This window comes from Homo sapiens, chromosome 2, assembly GCF_000001405.40.
Source record: "Homo sapiens chromosome 2, GRCh38.p14 Primary Assembly".
In the NCBI taxonomy this organism is placed as follows: Eukaryota; Metazoa; Chordata; class Mammalia; order Primates; family Hominidae; genus Homo; species Homo sapiens.
In genome coordinates this window covers 24,906,259-24,929,903 of record NC_000002.12, presented here as the reverse complement: position 1 = coordinate 24,929,903, position 23,645 = coordinate 24,906,259, and the positions used below count along the sequence as shown (strand labels likewise).

At 53.3% G+C, this 23,645-nt stretch overlaps 1 protein-coding gene and 1 long non-coding RNA gene across 28 annotated transcripts in view, besides 7 other annotated features; one reads left to right on the top strand and one right to left on the bottom strand.

Moving 5' to 3' along the window:
* Window positions 2,911–3,030: an enhancer, noted in NCBI's record as "active region_15437". NCBI's record gives its function as "activates an Ori minimal core promoter by ATAC-STARR-seq in GM12878 lymphoblastoid cells {active_cell/tissue: GM12878}" and the evidence as "EXISTENCE:reporter gene assay evidence [ECO:0000049][PMID:35858748]".
* Window positions 3,027–3,741: an enhancer, noted in NCBI's record as "H3K4me1 hESC enhancer chr2:25149032-25149746 (GRCh37/hg19 assembly coordinates)". NCBI's record gives its function as "activates a minimal SCP1, AML or CMV promoter by ChIP-STARR-seq in primed H9 embryonic stem cells {active_cell/tissue: H9 hESC(primed)}" and the evidence as "EXISTENCE:reporter gene assay evidence [ECO:0000049][PMID:30033119]".
* Window positions 8,446–9,560, bottom strand: LOC124907742 (uncharacterized). Its single transcript, XR_007086246.1, has 2 exons — window positions 9,332–9,560; window positions 8,446–8,906 (listed from the first exon to the last, which is right to left on the bottom strand). It is a non-coding gene; the product is annotated as an uncharacterized LOC124907742 (long non-coding RNA).
* Window positions 9,113–9,202: a silencer, noted in NCBI's record as "silent region_11238". NCBI's record gives its function as "represses an Ori minimal core promoter by ATAC-STARR-seq in GM12878 lymphoblastoid cells {active_cell/tissue: GM12878}" and the evidence as "EXISTENCE:reporter gene assay evidence [ECO:0000049][PMID:35858748]".
* Window positions 9,213–9,422: a silencer, noted in NCBI's record as "silent region_11237". NCBI's record gives its function as "represses an Ori minimal core promoter by ATAC-STARR-seq in GM12878 lymphoblastoid cells {active_cell/tissue: GM12878}" and the evidence as "EXISTENCE:reporter gene assay evidence [ECO:0000049][PMID:35858748]".
* Window positions 9,463–9,522: a silencer, noted in NCBI's record as "silent region_11236". NCBI's record gives its function as "represses an Ori minimal core promoter by ATAC-STARR-seq in GM12878 lymphoblastoid cells {active_cell/tissue: GM12878}" and the evidence as "EXISTENCE:reporter gene assay evidence [ECO:0000049][PMID:35858748]".
* Window positions 9,553–10,282: a silencer, noted in NCBI's record as "silent region_11235". NCBI's record gives its function as "represses an Ori minimal core promoter by ATAC-STARR-seq in GM12878 lymphoblastoid cells {active_cell/tissue: GM12878}" and the evidence as "EXISTENCE:reporter gene assay evidence [ECO:0000049][PMID:35858748]".
* The window catches only part of ADCY3 (adenylate cyclase 3), a 101,069-nt gene continuing 87,090 nt past the window's right edge, over window positions 9,667–23,645 (top strand). For 26 of the 27 annotated variants that reach the window (XR_007068865.1, NM_001377130.1, NM_001377129.1 and 23 more), the window contains exons 1-2: window positions 9,667–10,221; window positions 10,720–11,591. Coding sequence is in view for 26 of the 27 variants with exons in the window: in NM_001377130.1 (NP_001364059.1) it covers window positions 10,917–11,591 (675 nt within the window). In the remaining variant the exon portion in view is untranslated. Of the gene's footprint in view, window positions 10,222–10,318; window positions 10,431–10,719; window positions 11,592–23,645 lie in introns of those variants that run through there. The other variant, NM_001377132.1, reaches the window with a different exon arrangement.
* Window positions 12,685–12,934: an enhancer, noted in NCBI's record as "active region_15436". NCBI's record gives its function as "activates an Ori minimal core promoter by ATAC-STARR-seq in GM12878 lymphoblastoid cells {active_cell/tissue: GM12878}" and the evidence as "EXISTENCE:reporter gene assay evidence [ECO:0000049][PMID:35858748]".

Genomic DNA, 23,645 nt, shown 5'->3' with positions numbered 1-23,645 from the left:
TTTCTTTTCCAAACCATCTTTTATCCCAAATCAATCCTCTGGAAGAATGTAGCAGGTCAGGACATGTCATCTACTCAAAAGAATCCTCAACAACTCCTATAAAACACAAAGCCCAAATTTAGATGTTTTAGCTAGGCATTCAAGGCCTTCTGTGATCTTGCCCCTTCCTACCATTCCATATTCCCCAGGGCAGGCTCCAACCCTCCAGGGAGGCCTGTGGCAACCCATATGTCTGTGATGGGGTGAGGAGTTCAAGTCCAAAGTGAAGCATTATCTCAGGCTGTGGCCACACACCTAAGCCCCAGCCTCCAACTCAACTTTCATCCATCTGAAACTGATCTGTTGCGCCCCAACTGCCTGATTTCTGGATCTACTTCCTAAGTGGTTGGGAGCAGGAGCATGAAGAAACGGAATTAAAGACCTAGACTTAACATTCAAATCATTATCACCTCCAGGTGGGGCACTCTCTGGGCTCTGGTCCTGACACAGTGTTTTGAGACAGGAGAGAGGGAAGATGGCAAGAACTGGGGAGACCTGGACACTGAGAGGGGAACAAGGAGAGGGTGCCCTAAATGACCAAGGTGAGCAGAGAAACCTCAGTTTCCACAAATATCAGCCTCACTCTGCTCTGACTTGATAAATAGAATAGCCGGAGCTTGTACTTTTGTTTATAATTTTAAGATATGAAAATGGGTCAGCAATATGGTTTTGTTGTTATTGTTGTTTTTGTTTGTTTGTTTGTGTTTTAGATGGAGTCTCGCTCTGTCGCCCAGGCTGGAGTGCAGTGGCGCAATCTTGGCTCACTGCAAGCTCTGCCTCCCGGGTTCACACCTTTCTCCTGCCTCAGCCTCCCTATTAGCTGGGACTATAGGCGCCCGCCACCACGCCTGGCTAATTTTTTGTATTTTTAGTAGAGACGGGGTTTCACCGTGTTAGCCAGGATGGTCTTGATCTCCTGACCTCGTGATCCACCCATCTCGGCCTCCCAAAGTGCTGGGATTACAGGTATCAGCCACCGCGCCCAGCCGGGTCAGCAGTATGTTAATCAAGCTGGCCTGAGCCCTTCCCGGCCAGGCTGCAGGCCTCCCCTGGGCCAGGGTTGGGTGTTGCCCTGTTGCAGATCTGCTGTCCGGGGCTCCACCTCTCTGACTGGGCTGCTTTCCTGCCTCCCAGGGTGGAGAAGATGTCTCTGGATTTGAACAGATAGGGCTGCTAAGATAAAGGCCCCGCCTCCCCTCCAGTACTGCTGACTCCTCCTGCTTTGTCTTTCCCATGGCCCACCCCTTCTGGTCCACAGTTAAGTTGGCCCCCATCCAAGCAGAGGAGAAGGCATGAGCCCCCCAATTCCTCTAGCAATGACCCAGGATGTCGAGCAGGCCACAGTGTCTAAGTGCCGGGCCTTGGATTCAGAGGTGTGGGTGTAAACATGGGCAGTGCCCTTTGCCAGTTGTGGAACCTTGGGCATGTTAGGAATCTAATCTCAGTGTTTTCATCTGTAAAATGGATATGGCAATTGTACTTACCTCATATGACTGGTGTGCAGATTATATGAGAGAATAAGTAGGCTGGGGCCTAACCAAGGAAAAGCCTGGATGCTAAAGAATTGGGAAGTCAAACAGTCTGAACTGTGTTTCTGGGAGACAATTCCAGTGGCAGCAGAAAGGGGGCTTGGAAAAGTCTTAGAATCCATGAACCTCAGGCATCCATTCAGCTGCTGACTCCAGGTGGTCCCTTGTTCCCAACCAGCCTTCCTGGAACAAGGGATCTGGCCTGTTGCAGCTGAGGGTAACTTGGAAGGGGTGAGGGTGGTGAGGAACCACAGGTGGGAGTTCTTTCTACAGCATTCTCTTGCATTAAAAGATTTCTAGGGTGGCCGGGCATGGTGGCTCACGCCTGTAATCCCAACACTTTGGGAGGCTGAGGCGGGTGGATCACCTGAGGTCAGGAGTTTGAGACCAACCTGGCCAACATGATGAAACCCCATCTCTAATAAAAATACAAAAATTAGCCAGGCATGGTGGCATATGCCTGTAGTCCCAGCTACTCGGGAAGCTGAGGCAGGAGAATCACTTGAACTCAGGAGATGGAGTTTGCAGTGAGCGGAGATCGTGCCTTTGCACTCCAGCCTGGGTGACAAGAGTGAGAAAAAATAAAAATAAAAATGTATAGGACCTCTTTCTTCTCAAAAATCACCCTTTCACAGACCGTTGAGATGATTTCCTCTCCTCCAATTTAACATGGCGAAGGCTCATTTATTTCAGCATCGAGATTAGAAACATTAGAAAAAGTTTTAATGGGAGGAATTAAGATGAGTCCTTCCTCTAATCAGTACTACCGGGATCTATATCACATTAGGAGCCTGCCGTAATAGGCAGAATCATGTCCACGCAAAACGTCACCACCCTAACCCCCAGAAACTGTGACTATGATGCCTTACATGGCAAAAGTGACTTTGCAAACGTGATTAAGTGAAGGATCTCGAGATGGAGAGATTCTCCTGGAACATCCCAGTGAGCCAGATCTAATCACATGCGTCTTTAAGACCAGAGAACTTGTGCCAGCTCCCCAGGATCTCTTAGCCTTGCTTTTCTGGGTGCTAGTGACTTTCCACCCATGAGAAAGACCGTGGGGCTGGGCTGTTCGTCTCCTCCCATCCGGGGCCTTTTCTAGCCACTCTTGTTGTTCTGAAAGCTTCCTGCTCTCTCCTATTCCCCGCAGGCCGCAGGGAGGCTTGTTAGCACACATTTCTATGGTGCCTCTTGCCGGAGGGGCAGGGCTCGCGCGCTTTTGGAAACGTGACGTCCCGCAGAGGCCTCGGAATTACTCAGCATTCACATGCCGTTTCACGCTCCGTGGGCACGTGTCCTTCTCTCCCCAAATTTAACCCCTCTGGGCCTCAATGTCTCCACCAGGGCTGCAGCAGAATGGTGTTTGGAGTCTCTTTCAACTGCCAGCAGGGAGCTGTGACTCTCCAGGATTCGCTCTGAGTCCCTGAGGTCAAGGGCACCCTTGGCTACAGAGAAGCAGTGACAAGCAAAGGAAGCTTCCTGAGCCTTCCTGGTACAGCCGGACTTCTGGGTGGCCAGAGCCTGGGCCTCCGCCCCTTCCTAGCTGGGGCCGGAGCAAGTTACCTCATGTCTCTGCGCTCCCGCTTCTCCACCCGCACAACAGGGACGCCGGGAGTCCCCACCGCGGAAACCAAAGGGAAGAAGGCAGCGCGCGGTGCCTGCAGGGCGGGGCGCAGGAAGGGGAGCTGCTGCCGCTGTCTGGGGATCGGGCCCATGGGTGTTACTGGCACTGTGGCTAGTGTGCCGGTGACATTATTTCAATGACAGACTGTGGAATAGCCACTCTGTTTCAAATACTGGGCAGGAGGAACCAGGGACCCTGGTCCTTGCTCCCAAGGAGACGCTCACACCTGCCAAGGGGCAAAGACCCGGAACCAAGCCCAGCACCAGCCTGGGTGCCTGGATGTCTTCACTGCGCATCCTCAGCCCGCTTCCCTCTGCCTGCGTCAGGGGCCTAGAAACAGCACCCGAGGGCAGCCAGCAGAGCCCACGTCCTGTGTGGATGGCACCGATCGAGGAGAGGAGAGGGAAGAGGTGAGGCGGGCACCCACCAGGACGGATGATGCAACCCAGGCACATGCATGCACACTTACACACACACGTGAAGGTTCGTTTTCACACACTCACAATCATACACACTCACAAACGTGAAGGTAGGTTCTCACAATCACACACACCCACTCACACACAAACATGAAGGTACGTTCTCACAATCTCACACAACCACTCAGAATCACACACAAACGCAAAGGTGTGTTCTCACAAACTCACAATCATACCCACTCACATTCACACACAAACGTGAAGGTACGTCTCACACATAGTCACGCTCACACACCCACTCACACACACAAACATGAAGGTACATTCTTACACCCAATCACACACACCCATTCACACTCACAAATGTGAAAGTACATACACACAACCACACATACCCACTCACGCACGAAGGTACGTTCTCACAATCACACACTCATTCACACACAAACGTGGAGGTATATTCTCACACACAATCACACTCACACACCCACTCACACAAACGTGAAGGTACATTCTCATACACACAATCACACACACACAGTAACATGAAGGTACGTTCTCACACAATCACACACACCCACACAAACGTGAAGTACGTTCTCACACACAATCACACACACCAACACACAGGAACATGAAGGTACGTTCTCACACACACACACCCACTTACACTCACACAAACATGAAGGTACATTCTCTCACACATACACAATCACACCCACCCACACACACAAACGTGAAGTACATTCTCACACAATCATGCTCACATACCCACTCGCACACACAAACACGAAGGTACATTCTCACACGCACACAATCACACACACCCACACACACACAAACATGAAGCAACATTCTCACACACTCGCACTCACATACCCATTCACACACAAATGCAAACGCACATTTTCACATGCACATTTACACCCCCACACACAAACACGAACATATGTTCTCACACACGCGCTCACACACAAACATGAAGGTACAATTCTCACACACATGCCAACATGAACGTACATTCTCAGACATGCACACTCACATATCCACTCATACACACAAATGTGAAGGAACGTTCTCACACACACACACTCCCCACTCTCACACCCACACACATTCCTCACACCCCTCCTCACATTCACAGCCCTACACACACGCTCTTACACCCATCCACAGTGCCCAAGGAGTGACCCTGTGAGAGTCAGGGAGGCTCCAACACGGGGCAGAAGGGAGAGACCAGGGACAGAGACAAAGAAGGGAGGACACAGGGTCAGATGGGCCAGTGCTGTCGATACTGTTAGAGGAAGACTGCGCTGGAGTCGCGGGGCCCCAGATGCAGCCATGGAGGGGACTGGGGGCAGGCAGCCAGCCAGCTGTGCAGGCCATGCTGGGGCAGAAGTGCTCACGGCTGCTCAGCTGTCTGCTGTGAGATAATGGTAACTCCAGTTGATTTGTTGAGATCTGCCCACCATGTTGGTCCCATGAATCCCCTACTTCCTGACAAGGATCCTGACTAAGGGTTAGTGCTGTCACTGCACCACAGAGACACAGGCTTGTGGGGGCTGAGTAATTGGTCCGAGGTGCTCAGCTCTCATCAAGGCCATGCTCAAAACTGAGCTCTCTGATTCCAGGGAGCCAGCTTTCCCTAGGGTACCACACACCTCTCCTCCAGGTGACAGGATCCAAACTGCTGAGCCTCTGAGCCAGCAGGAATGGATGAGGGGTGTGGGCCCTGCACAGGATGCTTGAGTATCACATGCCACATCCCCCCGGTCCCCCTCTCCACTCCCGTTACTGCTGCAGGCACACCCCAGCAGCACCTTGCCAGGTATCTGCACTGAGGATCCCTCGTTTCCTGCCCAGTCCGCTCACTGCTTAGCCTCCTTTGCACAAGAGCCAGGGAGAGAATACCCCAACTGGCAACCCTTAACCAACAGGGAAGGATGAAAGGAGGACGAACACCCACCTTTGCCAGCCCTCCAGTGGAAAGCTCTGAGGTGCCTTCTGCAAGGCTCATCAGAGGGTCCCAGCAGGATCAAGGCCCCCTCCCACACCAGTGGCCAACTCCGTCACAAACCCTCATATTTACCGGCTTTCCTGCCTTCTCTGTTTTGAGCTTCCCAGGCTCCTGCTCTGTTTCCCTGGAATCACTTCCCCAGTTGAACCACCTGCATGCAGGCCGGGTCTCAAGCTCTGCTTTCAGGCCCCAGACAGGGCTCTCCTGGTGCCCAGCACCAGGGGAGCTAATGATCTTCTCTCTCCCACTTCTGTTTTCCCCCAGGACACAGAGTTCTGCTCTGATCTATTGTTTGCTGGATTCAAGAGCCACCACATTCCCCGGGGGGGCCAAACCATTCTTGTTTATCCAGTAACAATTAATTCTCAGCCATGATTTCTAGTCTTGAACCACACAAACAAAAAGTTGCCTTCAGCAAAGAGGCATCCCATCCAGGCAGATGCTGGATTGAGGTTGGGGGGGGTCAGGATGCCCTCCAAGCTTCGACCTAAGTCTATGATTCTGTCTTCCTTTTAGGACAAGCCACAGGGGCAAGTCACCCATGCAGCCATTTGAGGTCCTGAGTTGTGTGTGTATAGATTTCCTGTATCATTTGATTATAAAAGCGAAGCATGCCAGTTGTCCAGGTTACATCAATACAAAATGTATAGCTTGGAAAGTGAAAACAGCTCCCCCATAATCCCACCCTTTTCACTCGAGGGTGGATATTTTTCATTGCCCTGGGACCAGGACATTCTCAGTATCAGGGAATGAGGCCAGCTGGTCCCTTCAAGGACAGCCAGTGCCTTTATAAAGTACCATTTCTTCTTAGGGAGACTTCCATTCATTCAATGACTATTTTTTGAGTATCTACTAGGTGCCAGGTACTGGGGAAGCCACTGTGAGTGAGATGGATGAGGCCCTCGCGGCATTTTCCCTGATCTCCTCTGTGGCAGGATGTCAAGCAGCTCTCTTGCCCAGGAATATTCACCCAGATGCTTCTGGCTCCCCGGGAGTCCTCGCAAGGGCCTACTGCTGTCCCACTGCGTTTCCCATATCCACAGGGAAAGGCCGTGCCAGAACCCTGAACGCGGAGCAGGGATGGGAATGTGCTGTGCTCTTCCTGCGGCTGGGCCTTTGCAGGGAGGCTCCAGCCACCTGGAACGCCTGCCTTTCAGGCCCATCAGATCCTTCCCTCTTGCCCTGAAAGGCCCTGTCTCTGATCACCTCAGCCAGAAGTCACCCCCAACTGTAACCTGTGTACACCTGAGGGTCTGCCTCATGAGTCAACATGGTGCCTTGGCAGAACTATAAGGCTCCTCTGGTTTCCCCAGTGCCCGCTGAACAGGGGCCCACAGAGGAGAGATAGGGATGGTGGAAGAACAGGGAGTGGGACAGTGAAGCCAGCAGGCAGGGGCTGGAGAGGCAGGGATCAATTTGTTGTTGTTCTTTTTATATGAGGGTGCCTCTGTGTGGAACTCTCTCCCTTCATGGGGTGGGAGGCTGGGGCATGAGTGGTGGCAGAGGGCCCAGCAGAGAACCCTCTCAGCTTAGGAGCTGGGCATGGCCTTGCGGACAGGGTGCCACACTGAGAATCACAGGGCTGGCATGTATGCCAAGGAAGGGGAAGGGACCCACAGAGGGTGCAACATGGTGTCTCTTGTGCCAAAGCAGGACCAAGCACAAGATTTATCAGCCTTTTAAAAAACATTAGCACATCTCTCCCCCAACCCCCACTTTTTTTTGAGATAGGGTCTCATTCTGTTGCCCAGGCTGGAGTGCAGTGGTACGATCTTGGCTCACTGCAACCTCTGCCTCCTAGGGTCAGGCGATTCTCCCACCTCAGTCTCCTGAGCAGCTGGGACTTCAGGCACCCGCCACCACGCTCGGCTAATTTTTGTATTTTTTGGTAGAGACAGGGTTTTGCCATGTCAGCCAGGCTGGTCTCGAACTCCTGACCTCAAGTGATCTGCCTGCCTCGGCCTCCCAAAGAGCTGGGATTACAGGCATGAGCCACTGCGCCTTGCCGTACATTACATCTCCCTTTGTAAAACATAAAAGTCATGTCCTCTTTAACATCATGTGACAATTCAAAATAAATGTTTAAACCTCCAGCAAAGTCCAGGCATGATGGCTCACACCTGTATTCCCAACACTTTGGGAGGCTGAGGCAGGCAGATCACTTGAGGTCAGGAGTTCGAGACCAACCTGGCCAACATGATGAAACCCTGTCTCTACTAAAAATACAAAATTTAGCCAGGCATGGTGGCAGGTGCCTATAATCCCAGCTACTTGGGAGGCTGAGGCAGGAGAACTGCTTGAACCCAGGAGGCGGAGGTTGCAGTGAGCTGAGATGGCCACTGCACTCCAGCCTGGGCGACAGAGTGAGACTCTGTCTCATAAATAAATAAATAAATGCCTTCCTTTTTAAAAAACAAAAACAAAAAACAAACCACAAATAACTCCCTCCAAAAAAAATCCCCCCCAAAACCCAAAAACCTCCAGCAAATTAAAACAATGGGGCAGCCCAGAGCAGTGGCTCATCCCTGTAATCCCAGCACTTTGGGAGGCTGAGGTGGGCGGATCACTTGAGGTCAGGAGTTCAAGACCAGCCTAGCCAACATAGTGAAACCCCATCTACTAAAAATACAAAAATTACCCCGGGCTTGGTGGTGTGTGCCTGCAATCCCAGGTATTCAGGAGGCTGAGGCAGGAGAATTGCGTGAACCTGGGTGGTGGAGGTTGCAGTGAGCTGAGATCACAACACTGCACTCCAGCCTGGGTGACAGAGTGAGACTCAGTCTCGAAAAAATAAAAAATAGAAATAAAATAAAACAATGGGGCAAAGTTTTGCTTTATTTAAATTACCAAACTCCTATATCTGATGTTAGGTCCCCTACCTTTGGAATCAAAGCCCTGCGAAGTATGGGCTGAAGGTGGCGCCTTTTCAGACAGAGTGTGAGGGAACGGTAGAAACAGCAGTGGCAGGATCGATTCTCTAATGGATCCATTCCCCGAGGGATGCAAGGTGATGCCTGAGGTTCTGGAAGGGGTGCCCGCGGATAACTCTCAGGGGCATGGGGTGGCAGCTCCATCCAGGGTCTGGATAGCCAAGTTTCTCTCCCCTCTGTTCATTCCTTCAGCTCTCCCCAGGGGAGATGACCCCCTATTGCTGCTGGCTGTCCTCAGCACTTACCTTCCCACACATGCTTTTGTCCCTTTTGTCCCAAAACATTCTATCTCTTTCCTCTTCCTTTATTTAAATTCCCAAAGCCTGTAGTTGATCTTAGCACGGTGTTCTGTCAAATGCAAGGAAAATAATTTATACTATGGTGTAAGAGACTGATAGGTTTAACTATTCAAAGGAGCATTCGCATCTTTAAGGGACAGTTTGTGAACTCAAACACATCTCAAACGGGTAGAATGTGCACGGGAAATCTCTTCGAAGCAGGGTCTCAGGAACTCTTCCAGTTCCACGTGTGTAGTGCCCACCGGGCCACCGCCACCCGCCTCCTGGGAGCAGGACAGGGCTCCGCTGCCGAGCCCCTCTGCGGAAAGCTCAGGCCCGGCGCTCCGGAGTCTGGGCTCCCGGGGTGGGCGGGGATACTTAGGCCCCACGTGCCCCGCGGCGGAGCGGTCCCCAAACCTGAGCCCTGGCCTCTGCCGGCCCGGAAGGAAGCCGCGGCGGAGGAGGGGGCGGCGGGGTGCCCCGAGCGCGCCTCACCTGCGGGCGGGCGCGTCCCGGGCTTCCATCCTCCTAGACCGGGCCTCCTCGCTGGAAGGGGTGGATTCGCCCCAGCCCTGCCGCCCACCGCCCACCGCCCACGCCCGCGCCCGCGCCCGCGCTTCCACGCAGCCATCGCCCCAGCCCGCCGCCCGCGCCGGATCGGGGGCCGCCCGGGCCCCTCCACCTCTCGCCCGCGCGGGTCCTGGGACCGCCGCCCGGCGCCTCCCTCGCCGCCCCACTCCGGAACGCGCCGCCGAGAGGGCGGAGACTGGGGCGAGGGAGGGGCCGCCCCGCCCGCCTCCCGCCTCCCGCCTCCCGCCTCCCGGGGCCTGGAGCGCGCGTGGCCCCGGAGCCGCCGGCGCCGCGCGGGGAATAGCTGTGCAGCACGCCGAGCCCGGACTCGGCTGGCTCGGCTCGGCGCGGGCGGGCGAGAGGATGCTGGCGGGCTTCCCCGGGCTCGGCCCGCGCTCCCGCCGGGGAGGGCCCCGCGCGCGCCCCTAGCAGCCGCCGCCGCCGCGGGTGCAGGGGAGGGGTCCGGAGAGCCGCGCTCGCCGCCGCCCGCGCCTGCCGGCCCCCGCACGGCCCCTGCCCCTGAGCCTCAGCCCCAGGGCGGGCGCGCTGGGCCGGCGCCCACGGATCTCCCAGCCCTCGTCGCCGCCTCCTCCTTCCCCCTGCGGCCGGGCGCCCGCGGATGCTGAGGGGCAGCCCTGCGCCTCTCCCGGTCGGATCCCGGGCCTGACGGCGGGAGATCGCGCTCCGGCCGGGCCCCGAGGCGCTGCCGGGGCGGCGCGGCTCTGCGGGGAGCAGCCCTCGGGCGCGCCGAGCTCTCCCGCCCCAGCCCGCGCGGGGACCGTCCCGGAGCACGCGGTGGCCGAGTTCCCGCACAGGTAAACGCAGGGGCAGGGCCAGGCTTCCGGGGGGGAAGACAGCGCCCCGAGCGTGGGAAGGGGGCCGGATCGGAGCCCGAGCCTCCAAGGGTTTGGTGGAAAAAGGAAGTAAACAGAAGGAAGGCTCAGGAATCCCCCACGATGGTCCTGATTTCTTTCCGGCACATTTTATTTACAGCTTCTAAGGACTGGGCCTGGAGGGAATTTAGGTGAGGAAGTCGGGGACTGAGAAAGAAGAGATGACAGAGAGAAACCGGTTACCAGGGATGGAAAGGCGGCTAGGCCCTTCCACAAGCCAGGGACAGGAAATTGAGTGTCTGGCGTGGACAGGACTAAGTGTGCCTGCGGTGGGCGGTGGTGTGAGCCGGGGGTGGCAGGGAAGGCCCTGGGTTGGGAGGCTCTTGCAGCAGAGATCCTTTTATGAGGGTTAGGGCGGGTCATGGGGAAACCGCAAGGTAGGAGGGAAGAGGTGCTTCTACTCAGCAATGCCCTTTTCAGTTCTAGCTGATCAGTGCTACCTGTGCTCTGGAAACCCGCTCTGCGTTCCTGCTGGAGGTGGCCTCCCCTCCGCCCCAGACAAGAAGAGGCCCTCAGCCCTCCCCCGGTCTCAGAGAGCCCTGAGAGGAGGCCCAGTCCAGAGCTCTTCCTCCGTTCCCAGTCCACTTCTCTAGGGCCAGTAGCAGACACCAGCCAGTATGCCGAGGAACCAGGGCTTCTCCGAGCCCGAATACTCGGCCGAGTACTCAGCCGAGTACTCCGTCAGCCTGCCCTCCGACCCTGACCGCGGGGTGGGCCGGACCCATGAAATCTCGGTCCGGAACTCGGGCTCCTGCCTGTGCCTGCCTCGCTTCATGCGGCTGACTTTCGTGCCGGAGTCCTTGGAGAACCTCTACCAGACCTACTTCAAAAGGCAGCGCCACGAGACCCTGCTGGTGCTGGTGGTCTTTGCAGCCCTCTTTGACTGCTACGTGGTGGTCATGTGTGCTGTGGTCTTCTCCAGCGACAAGCTGGCTTCCCTCGCCGTGGCTGGAATTGGACTGGTGTTGGACATCATCCTCTTCGTGCTCTGCAAAAAGGGGCTGCTCCCGGACCGGGTCACCCGCAGAGTGCTGCCCTACGTGCTGTGGCTGCTCATAACCGCCCAGATCTTCTCCTACCTGGGCCTGAACTTCGCGCGTGCCCACGCGGCTAGTGACACGGTGGGCTGGCAGGTCTTCTTTGTCTTCTCCTTCTTCATCACGCTGCCCCTCAGCCTCAGCCCCATCGTGATCATCTCCGTGGTCTCCTGTGTGGTGCACACGTTGGTCCTGGGGGTCACCGTGGCCCAGCAGCAGCAGGAGGAGCTCAAGGGGATGCAGCTGCTGCGGGAGGTGAGTCCTGCCCACTGTCCCCCCACAGCGTCCTCTCCTGCAGCTCTCACCAACTTGGGACCTGTTGGAGTTGCTGTTTGCTTTGCCTTTGAGTCAAAATGTGTCCTGGGGGCCTCCGGGGCTCTCACCTCTCTCCCTAGTCCCTGCCTTTTCACCCCTGTGCCATTACCCGGAGTCTGCCTGTGCTTGGCCCCAGGGAAAGGAGGATGTCAGGGCATTGGGCCTCAGGGCCACTCTTCACCTGTGCCCAGTCTAAGTGTGTGACAGGAAGGCCCACCCAGGGCTGGTCTTGAGGCAGCATTGTCCTGGCCATTCCCTGTCAGTGACCCTGGCAAGGAGGACCTCCCTTGGGAAGAGGGCTCCTTGATTCCCATCTCTCCCCAGCACTGACTAGCTGTGTGGACTCAGTGCCCCTTTGTCAAATGGGGATAACGTCCGCTCTGCCTGCATGACACGGTTGTTGTCAGGATTGCAGGAGATGTGGGGGAAAGCGCATTAGGATACGTGAAGGGCTGCACAGAGGGAAGACGCAGTTGTCATATTTCCTGCCTCCGGGAGCTCGGGGTGCCTGGGGAGTTCTATGAAGTGGAGAATGGTGGTCTCCCCACTGAAGGTGTGGTGTGGGGATGCAAATGGGGACAGTCATGCCGGCCACTGTGACGTAGGGTCTCCTGGTCCTAAAGCACGCATTCTGCTGGTCCTGGAGCACGCTTTCTACTGGAAGGGGTGGAATTTCGGCCTCAGCTTAACTATTATAGTATTGTGTTCCCACCAAGTGCCAGGCCCTCAGGGGCTGCAGAGACCAGGGGACCTGAGGGACAGTAGGCAGTGTGTGTCCCTGGGGAGCCAGCAAGCCGGTGACCAGAGAATGAGGCGGAGATGTCTGCATCTGGGTTTGGTGCCCAGCCTGCCAGCCTCGTGCCAATGATGGTCAAGAGAGGCTCCCCCACTTCCTGCCCCTGCAGTGCTCTGTCTGGTAGAGATGTCTTAACTCCCACGCCAGCTCTGTTCTGTGGTTAGTGGGGCTGGGGTAGAGTCAGCTCTGAAGCGGTGACCTTCTGGGTGTCAGGAGAGGCAGGGCGTGCCCAGAATCCTTGCTGACTGACGTGAGCCTCTAGCAGCCATGGAGGTCAGTGCCTGGGTCCTGGAGACCAGGTGCTATGTGCAGGCCCAGGGTGGACAGACAGAATCTTCCACTCCTCTGCTGATTTCTCCACTCATGTCTCATCCTGCTGATTTGTTCTAGAAATGGGTAGAGGATGTTAACATAGGCAGGGCCTGGCAGGGCATCTAGCCCAGACTACCCATTTTACAGAGGAGGAAACAGAGATGAGTGATAACTGGTTCACTGTCACCCAGCACTTTGGTGGCAGAAACAGGACGGGAGCCCAGGCATTGACCCCCAGCCCAGGGCTCATTTGTGTATGTTCCTTGGAGCACTGAGAGCTGCCTGAGAGCAGGAGCTTTGCTTCCCACCCCACCTCCTGGAGACAGTGGCTATGTGCTGCCCTGCCGTCCCCACCCCAAATCTCTGTAGAGGGGGCTGTGAGTTTCTGGTCATTGACTAGGTGGAAACACCAGTCATATCTCTTCAGGCCATGCATTAGCCAGTCCCAGGTTCTTTTTTTTTTTGAGACGGAGTCTTGCTTTGTTGCCAGGCTGGAGTGCAATGGCGCGATCTCAGCTCACTGCAACCTCCGCCTCCCAGGTTCAAGCTATTCTTCTGCCTTAGCCTCCTGAGTAGCTGCGATGACAGGCACGCGCCTCCACGCCTGGCTAATTTTTGTATTTTTAGTAGAGACAAGGTTTCACCATGTTGGCCAGGATAGTCTCGATCTCTTGACCTCATAATCCGCCCGCCTCGGCCTCCCAAAGTGCTGGGATTACAGGCGTGAGCCACCATGCCCAGGCATCCCAGGTTCTAAGGTCTGAGGTCTGAGGATGACTGGTCTCTCTAGCTCCATCTCCTCAGGTGGACAAGGAGCTTATTTTGAGGCTCCTGGAGCTTCCAGGGAAAAGGACTGAGAAGGTATGGCCACAGGGCTGGGCCGGGGCCTGGGTGCCCCACCACGTGGCTACTCGGAGATCACTTCTAAACTCATGATTGTTCTCCTTTGAGTATTGCTAAGACATAAAACCCTAAAACTTAGAAAACAGAAAAAAAAAGATAGAAATCAAGAATAAAAATATTAGCATCCCAGGGGAGCCTGACCTTGGCATGCAAGCAGTGCCTGGGAGGCAGCTTTGGGAACAGAGCAGGAGGGGCAGAGAGCTCTCAAGGTCCGATTGGGAGCCTGAGATCGAAGGCAGGAGGCCCCAGCTTACAGTGGGCTGTGTTCCAGAAGCTTCTGAGTCACTGGTTTGGGACTAATGTGACTTTTTAAAAGGTGCCTGGGTTCCCAGGCCCACCCACCAGGGTCTTCCTCAACTCACAGCATCCCGGCATTTGGCCTCTGAAGATGGTGGAAATGGGGCCGGGCATGGTGGCTCATGCCTGTAATCCCAGAACTTTGGCAGGCTGAGGCGGGCGGATCACCTGAGGTCAGGAGTTCAAGACCAGCCTGGCCAACATGGCGAAACCGCATCTCTACTAAAAATACAAAAATTAGCCAGGTGTGATGGGGCGTGCTTATAATCCCAGCTACACAGGAGACTGAGGCAGGAGAATCACTTGAACCTAGGAGGCAGAGATTGTAGTGAGCCGAGATCGCACCACTGCACTCCAGCCTGGGCGACAGAGTGAGACTCCATCAAACAAAAACAAAAACAACAAAAAACACAAGCTGCAGCAGCCTGTGTTGCTGTGGGGAGGGACACCCGGGACAGCGGTCTCCCCTGAGCCCTGGAGTGAGGTGTCATTCATCTCCCCTGCTGCCGTTGCCTCCTGGGATGTGGGCCCCATCAAGGATCGGGGGCAAGGGCTGGAGGACAGGATGCAAGAACCAGGGGACCAGGCCCCTTCTGGTCAGGGTAGGTCCCAGAACTTTCTCCAGACCCCAGGCACCGCCTTTCTCCTACCCATGTGCTTGCCCTTGTCTTTCTCTCTCCCATCCCCTGTCGGCTCTGGCTGGGGACTCCCTCCAGGGTCAGTGGGGGATGAACGCAGTTTCCCAGTTCGAAATAGACACCTGGATTTCTGGGTTCTTGTGAGTTTTGTGGTTTTGTTGCTGCTGTCACTGGCAGCATGAAGAAGCATTGCCAGTGTCAAAAGTCTTCTTCCTCTGCAGCCCTTATCCCCCCATGCCCATGCGCAGCTCTGTGGGGAAGGACAGAAGGTACACATGGGGCTGTTGGCAGCCTGAGAGGTCAGAGGCCAGCCAGACAACCTGTCCTGGGCTCCTCGCAGGAGGCCAGTGGGTGGGGTTCTGACAGGAAGAGCAGGTGATCAGGGAGTGTGGGATGGGGTGGGGCTGGGGCCCCACCAATGAGTTAATGAGTGAATATTGCCGAGCAGCATGGGCCTTGCAGCCTGCAAGGTCAGGGGATAAGGAGGATGAGGCCATCTGACACTCAGGCTGTGCTGGGGCGGGGAGGATGTTCTGAGAGCCACCTTGGGTGGGCAGAGACCTAGCCAATGGTTCTCACGACCCATCCTCTAGCCCCTGCCTGTCCCCCATTCCTTTTTTTTTTTTTTTTTGAGACAGAGTTTCATTCTTATTTCTGAGGCTGGAGTGCAATGGCACAGTCTTGGCTCACTGCAACCTCCTCCTCCCGGGTTCAAGTGATTCTGCTGCCTCAGCCTCCCAAGTACCTGGGATTACAGGTGGCCGCCACCACGTCTGGCTAATTTTTTTGTATTTCTAGTAGAGACAGGATTTCACCATGTTGGCCAGGCTGGCCTCGAACTCCTGACCTCAGATAATCCGCCTGCCTTAGCCTCCCAAAGTGCTGGGATTACAGGTGTGAGCCGCTGTCCAGAGGAGGGAACAGAGGACGAAACAGAGATGGGTGATAACTGGTTCACTGTCACCCATCACTTTGGTGGCAGAAACAGGACGGGAGCCCAGGCGTTGACTCCCAGCCCAGGGCTCATTTGTCTGTGTTCCATGGAGCACTGATTGCTGCTCCATGGGTCCCCCATCCCAAGAGGCAACACAGGCCCAGAGCAGCCGGAAGGGAGGACAGATGGATCAGGAGGAGCCGAGGCTGGCAGTGTTTGCCCATTTCGCTCCCCTGGCCTGGGTCCTGCCCCAGGACCTGTTACGGAATTACTTGCCCTTTACTGCCCTAAACTGCCCCTGGGCTGGGTGAGGAGGAAGGAGGGGACTGGGCTCAGGACCAGGACCTGCAGGACCAGCGGCCAATGAGTGCGGACAATGGGGAAGGCAGCCAGGATGGTTGGGGGTGGTGGTGGGCGGGGCGTGCCTTTAGCATTTGGCAAAGTAGGGACTAGGAACTGCTGACAAATATTTTGTACCCTTACTTCAGAGCAGAAAGGCTATTTGGGAGCAAAATTCTCTCATGGAATGAAGAGCCTGTTAAGACCTTTTTTCACCAAGTAAAACATGAGGAAGCTGTGGATGTGCAGTTTCTTTCACACCTGCAAATTACACAGCAATCATTCACCCAGCAAAGGAACATTTGCTCCTAGGGGCTGGAGGGAGCTGCCGTAGGGAGGGTGAGAGGAAACTGAGGCTTCCAGAGACACCCTGTCTGCAGACGGCAGGTAGCTGTTGCATGCACCTCATCCCATTTAATCCTGGATGTTACTGGCTCCATTTCACAGATAAGGGGACTGAGGCTCAGTGAGGTTGAGAGGAGGTAGTGGGGCTGGATTACAGGGGAGGGGTCACTGATGAGTGAGAAAGGTGGGTTGGGGGACTTCCCTGAAAGCCTCTCTTTCTCTGGAACCCAGGCATCTGGGCCTCCTACTTTTCTGGCTGCCCCCAAATGTCTTTGCTAAGCAACGTAGCTGAACAGTGCCAAGAGATGGCAGTCCCTAAGGTATAACAGGAGGCACCCCCTTCTCCCCATGGGAATTGGATGCAAAGAAGGGAGAAGCCCATGACGATGTTCCCTGTGGGCACGTGGCCAGGAGTACTTGAGAAAGGCAGGGGGCTGAATCGGGACAGGAGCTGGTGTGAGGTGCGGTGGGCAGGAAGCAGCAGGCCTGGGGGCTTTCAGCCTTCAGGAAGCAGGCTGCAGGGAGAGGTGTGCAGGACACAGAGCAAGAGGAGGCAAACTCAAGCCAGTCCTGGCTCTTTGGCCCTGGGCTCCTCCACTGACCCGGGACGGGAAAGAAGCCGTCATCCCTCCGTGGAGAGTATGCAGATGGGCATCAGTGGAGGGTCCAGGGACCAGAACAATGATGACGTGCGTAGAAGGGGACTGCAGGGCCATCAGATTCAGCTGCATGTGAGGAGGAATAATCAGTCATTGAACATGTAAACAACTTTGCAGAAAATCAACCCCTCCATCCTTTCCCTGTCGCAGCTTTCTGTGGCCTTTTCTGACCCCGATCTGTGTATAAACAGAGCTTTCCCAGTTTGTCATCATCATGCATATGCAATTTAGGCCCCACCTTTCATCCACATTATTTCCCTGACATTTTGCTGTGAACACTGGACTCCTCGTGTTTATTATTTTAAATCAGCGCTTTATAGTCAGCGAGTTTTTCTAGAGAGGAAACGGAAGCCCAGGGCTGGGCCAGGGGTGGGTAACTGGGTAGTTTTATATGCACATGCAGGCACACACACACACACACACATGCACACACACACACACATGCACACACACACACACATGCACACACACACACACATGCGTGCTCACTCCTGGGCTTGGTCTGCCCAGCCTTCTGGGTAAACCCTCCGTCAGATGGAATGGCTGGGATGCCAGGGTTATTGGCATTCTGCAGTTTCTTCATAAACAAACAGCAAATCCCACGAGGGTGGTCTAATGCTGGGTAAATATTCCAACACCACCCTCTGCCCCTGGCTGCCCCCCCACCAAATTACACATTCTTTTTGTTTTTTCTTTTTTTCTTTTTCTTCTTCCTTTTTTTTTTTTTCAAATAGAGACAGAGTTTCACCATGTTGCCCAGGCTGGGCCTGAACTCCTGAGCTCAGGCGGTTCACCCACCTCGGCCTCCTAAAGTGCTGGATTACAGGTGTGAGCCACCATGCCCAGCCATCACCAAATTACACGTTCTTGATAATAGATTCCACGGGTATGTGCTATCACCAACACGGAGACTCAGAGACACATTGTGCGTAGGTCGAGGCCCATGAGCAGGGACAGTGAGGAGGTGGCTGTGTTTACTGAGCTCTTGCTCTGTTACAGTTTAGTGCCTTCTGGCAAGAGGCAAATATTATTTCCATTTTACAGATCAGGAAACTGAAATGGGTGACAACTGAAATGACTTGTCCAGGGCCACATGCCTAGTAAGAGGCAGAGCAGGATTGGAGCCCAGGTCAGTAGGATTTTGGAGTTCCTTCTCACTGGAGTCATAAAAGAACCCATTAGGCGGTGACCAGTAGCTCATGCCTGGAATCCCAGCACTTTGGGAGGCTGAGGCAGGAATATCACTTGAGGCCAGGAGTTCAAGACCAGCCTGGGCAACATAATGAGACCCCATCTTCATACACACACACACACACACGTACACAACCACCAAAAAAAATTCAGCTGGGCTTGGTGGTGTGTGTGTGTGTGTTTTTTTTTTTTTTTTTTTTTGAGTCTGTCTCCCAGGCTGGAGTGCAATGATGCTATCTTGGCTCACTGCAGCCTCCGCTTCCCAGGTTCAAGCAATTCTCCTGCCTCAGCCTCCCAAGTAGCTGGGATTTCAGGCACCCACCACCATGCCTGGCTAATTTTTTTTGTATTTTTAGTAGAGACAGGTTTTCACCACAGTAACCAGGCTGGTCTCGAACTCCTGACCTCAGGTGATCCACCTGCCTCGGCCTACCAAAGTGCTGGGATTACAGGCATGAACCACAGCGCCCAGGCTGATGGTGTGTGTCTTGTACAGGAGGCTGGGGAGGGGGATGGCTTGAGCCCAGGAGTTTGAAGTTACAGTGAGCTCTGATCATACCACCCCACTGCAGCCTGGGGAACAGTGAGACCCCATCTCAAAAAAAAAAAAAAAAAAAAAAAGAACCCTTATATCTTCCCTCGGAGCCTGTTGAGATAGTTCCAACGGGGTTAGGGTTTTGGTTTCTCAACCCACAAGCATTAGAAGGAGCAATTTGGGGGATGAGGAGGTGTTTTTGGGGGCATCTTCAAGGAACAGAGATGTCTGGGGTGTTGAGTGTTGCAACCAACAGCCCTCATATGCACCTTCTCTGGCTGTAGGAGGCGTTGTTACATTATAGGACAGCATAGTAACTGATGTGCATAATGGTGACCAACTCATCAAGAAAATATTAAGGCCAGGCGCGGTGGCTCACACCTGTAATCCCGGCACTTTGGAAGGCCGAGGTGGGTGGATCACGAGGTCAGGAGATCGAGACCATCCTGGCCAACATGGTGAAACCCTATCTCTATTAAAATACAAAAAATCAGCCGGGCGTGGTGATGCACGCCTGTAGTCCCAGCTACTGGGGAGGCTGAGGCAGGAGAATTGCTTGAACTTGGGAGGCAGAGAGTGCAGTGAGCTGAGATTGTGCCTGGTGACAGAGGGAGACTCTGTCTCACAAAAAAAAAAAAAAAAGAAAAGAAAAGAAAGGAAATATTAAATTGCATTTAGCATAAAGTGTAGTGTAGTATCTAAAAACATTTTCCTCGGGAATGGATAACACAAGTTTGAACAAATAAGGATTATATTTGGAAATTCAGTAATGTGGGATGGCTCATTACTCAGTGTTACTGAGTATATGTCCATTTATTCACCATGTGTTTTAGTTATCCACTGCTGTGTAACAAACAGCCCCAAAATTTGGAGGCTTAAAAGAGTAACAGTTTAAACCTGGGCAACATGGCAAAACTCTTGTCTCTACAAATGGTACAAAAATCAGCCAGGCATGGTAGCATGTGCCAGTAGTCCCAGCTACTCAGAAGGCTGAGGTGGGAGGATTATGAGCCCCGGATGCTGCAATGAGCCATGATCGTGACACTGCACTCCAGCCTGGGTGACAGAGCAAGACCGGTCTCAAAAAAGAATAAAAAAAGAATGACAGTTTATTGTTTCTCATGATCCTGTGGGTTGACTGTTCAGCTGGGTGGTTTTTGTGCTTCACGTGGCATGGGCTGGGGTCACTCATTTGTCCACCTGCGCTGTTTCATTCACCTGCAGCATTCAGTTGCCAGCTATGCTGGCAAGTTCTAAGAAGCCTTTACTCATGTCTGGAGCCTCAGAGCTCCTCCTCCTGACCTCTCCATGTGGCTAACTTGGGCTTCCTCACAGCATGGTGGTCTCAGAGAGAAGGTGGAAGCTATCACAGTTTTTAAAGGTTAGGCTCATCACTATCGGCTACAAGAAGTCCAGGCTAACTCAGATGCAAGAGGAAATTGATTCTATCTTTTGATGTTTGAGTAGCGTGTGTAAGGGAGGGAATGAATTGATAGCAGCTGTCTTCTGAGGCTGTCTGAGAAACCAGGAGGCACATGGGGGATGCTGGGGAGACGGAACTAATTAAAGCCATGAGATTGGGTAGGGTCCAAAATACTCTGTGACCACAGAATGCTTCAAAAGTTAGAAATGTGGCCCAGAGCCCAGTGTTTTTAACTCCATTAAGGTATTGATTCTCTGTAGGATCCAATACATCATTTCTAAGATTTTTAGAAAGTTTCAGAAACTGCATTGTACAGAGAGAAATGGTGGCTCAGAATTCATCTGTATAGACTTTGCCTTGCCTTATTTGGGTGAGAAGTCATTCTCTTACCTTCTCAAGCATGCAACGGCCCCTGTGTCCAGGACACTGCCCTAGGTGACAGGATGTGTGGCTTAATCATGGACCCCAGCACCATTCCTGCCCCTTTCTCTCCTCAGCTTAGGTTGGCAGCTTGGCTCTGATGTTTGTATTCCTTTCCCAGGAGGTAGAGATTTGCAGGTGCACAAGCTTCAGAAACACCAGATAGGATTGGGTTTGCATTTAGGGGGATCATCTTGGTGGACCTGAATGAAGTCGACATGGTGCAGGAGGCTGGTGAGGGAGTCCAGGCGTGGCACCATGAGGGCCACCCACCAGGACGGACGTAGGGGATGGAGAAGATGAGTTTGGTTTGAGTTGCCCGTGGGACATCCAAGTGGAACTTTCAGATTATTCAGTGGAAAGTTATTGAACACCTTCTGTATACCAGACCTTGTACTCAAGATCTGGAGAAGAAAGGTCTAGAGTTGCAGATTTGAGAATCATCGGCATTTAAGTGGCACCTAAAACTGTAGGGAGGCTGAGGGGTTGCCTGGGGAGAGTGTGTAGAATCAAAAAGGAAGGGGGCTTAGAATCCAACACGTGGAGCAGCCAATGTGTGTCGGGGGGGCCCTCAGCATGGGACATCTGTAACCCGCCCCTGCTTCCTGCCGGGACCCATGATTGTCCCAGGTAGCCTGTGCTGGGTAGATCGGCCATTAGGAAGCAGGAAGCAGTGTCTGTCTGATGGTGTTTTGCACGATTGATGCTCTTGCATTGGGGAGACTTAAGCCTAGCCAAGGTGGGGCCATGGTGCCAGTTGAGGGACTGCTTCCCACAGTTCTAACTGGCAAACAAGGGCACGGGAGTGTGACTGTGTTACCTGGTTGGGGGAGGGGTGGGTAATTATATAGAGGCGCTTTAAACTACAAAGCACTGTGCAGATGCTAGTTATTTCTTTATTACATTTAATCTTGGCAGACCATCTCTGATCTTTGAACTATGAATGAATCAGACCAAGTTTCTTCATTATCCTTTTTTCATCTCTTTTCTGCGTAATCAACTAGCTCTTTTTCTTCATTGTGAAAGGATTATTGTTAAGAATGTTTCAAATTATAAAATGCTGAATAATATTGCAGAATATTGTACTATTCCTTTTCTGTAGGGCATTTGTCTACTTTTTTTTCTTTCTTTTTTTTTGAGACGGAGTTTCGCTCTTGTTGCCCAGGCCAGAGTGCAATGGTGCAATCTCAGCTCACTGCAACCTCTGCCTTCCAGGTTCAAGTGATTCTCCTGCCTCAGCCTTCCCGAGTAGCTGGGGTTACAGGCATGCGCCACCATGCCCAGCTAATTTTTGCATTTTTAGTAGAGATGGGGTTTCTCCATATTGGCCAGGCTGGTCTTGAATTCCTGACCTCAGGTGATCTGCCCACCTTGGCCTTCCAAAGTGCTGGGATTACAGGCGTGAGCCATCACGCTTGGCTCATTTGTCTACTCTTAATTTTTGTATTTTTATTTTTATTTTTTCTTGAGAGAGAGTCTCGTTCTGTTGCCCAGGCTGGAGTGCAGTGGAACAATATCAGCTCACTGCATCCCCTGCCTCCTAGGCTCAAGTGATTCTCCTGCCTTAGCCTCCCAAGTAGCTGGGATTACAGGAGCTCACCACCACACCCGGCTAATTTTTGTATTTTTGTAGAGATGGGGTTTCGCCATGTTGGCCAGGCTGGTCTCCAACTCCTGAACTCAAGTGATCTGCCCACCTCGGCCTCCCAAAGTGCTGGGATTACAGACGTGAGCTACTGCGCCCAGTCTTGTCTATTCTTAATTTATTGATTTTATTTATGTGTCACTTGCATTTTATTTACTTGCTGTCGTTTCAGCAGGCCCATCCCCTCTCTCCTTTCCCCTCCTTGCCATTTTCTGTCTGATGACTCTTCCTTCTTCTGAGCAGGTTTTCAGTCCTTTCTTCTAGGAAATTCCTCTTTGTGGTTCCTAAGGAATTCACTTTGATTAGAAATGAAACTGTTTCTTTCCTTTTCCCCTTCCTCTCCTCCACAACACTTTCCTTCTTGTAGACAGGAAAGTAAATGACTTGTTTCAGAAGAAATCTACCCCTCTCTTGAGCTCCATTCAAAACCCCAACATAAGCGACTGGACTTGAACTTTCGCAAGATTTCCATGTCTGGGGTTTGTTGTTCACATGTCACTTCAGGACTGATCTCCAGGAAGTGTAGTTTGGTGTCGGCTGAGTCAGATCTGGTAGTGGAAGACTGCGACAGCTGCCTATCCAGCTCTCGGTGGGCTCCTGGACTGCCCTTGGGGGCAGTTTCTCACCCAAGGGGACCAGGCCCTGAGGAATTTATTCCCATGAGCCTGATTCCTTTCATTTTTATTTTTATTTTTTTGAGATGGAGTTTTGCTCTTGAGTGCAGTGGTGCGATCCTGGCTCACTGTAACCTCCGCCTCCTGGGTTTAAGTGATTCTCCTGCCTCAGCCTTCCGAGTAGCTGGGATTACAGGTGCGTGCCACCACGCCTGGCTAATTTTTGTATTTTTAGTAGAGGTGGGGTTTCACCATGATGGCCAGGGTGGTCTCAAACTCCTGATCTCAAGTGATCCACCTGCCTCTGCCTCCCAAACTGCTGAGATTATAGGCGTGAGCCACCACGTCCAGTCTTGAGCCTGATTCTTATAAGACAGATTGCTCAAGGCCTGGTCACCAACCTGCTTATGGTAGGTGGACCTTCCCACCTTCTCTGGAGGGCAGCGGGGTGGGAGCAGGGGGTGGTAATACCATGTGTGTCATTTGGTACATATTTGCTGCCAATTCCTAAGAAACCAAATCAGTAATTTCCTGAAGGGGAATCTGAGCAAAGCGCATGGCATGGTGCCGAGGGTTGTTCATCCTCCCACGTGGGGCTGGGGGCCGACCCCACTGCCCACAGGCACATTTTCTACTGTGGACAACCCTGTCAGCTGGAGCCAGCCCAAGGAGTGGCACACAGCCTCACCCTTCAGTGCCTTTTTGCTCTACTCCTGCCCATGCTTACAGTTTACCTTTCATTGGTGCAGCACTGAGTGCTCTGGAACACACATTCCTCCTGTAGTTGGGCTTGTAGTTGTTAATATCATATTGCCCATCTCCAGGGACAAATTTGGGATATTCACTCTTTATTTCCATGAAGAGCCCAATCTAGGGTGGTTCTTTTTATTTTTTTTTTAAACAGTCTCACTCTCTCGCCTAGGCTGGAGTGCAGTGGCATCAT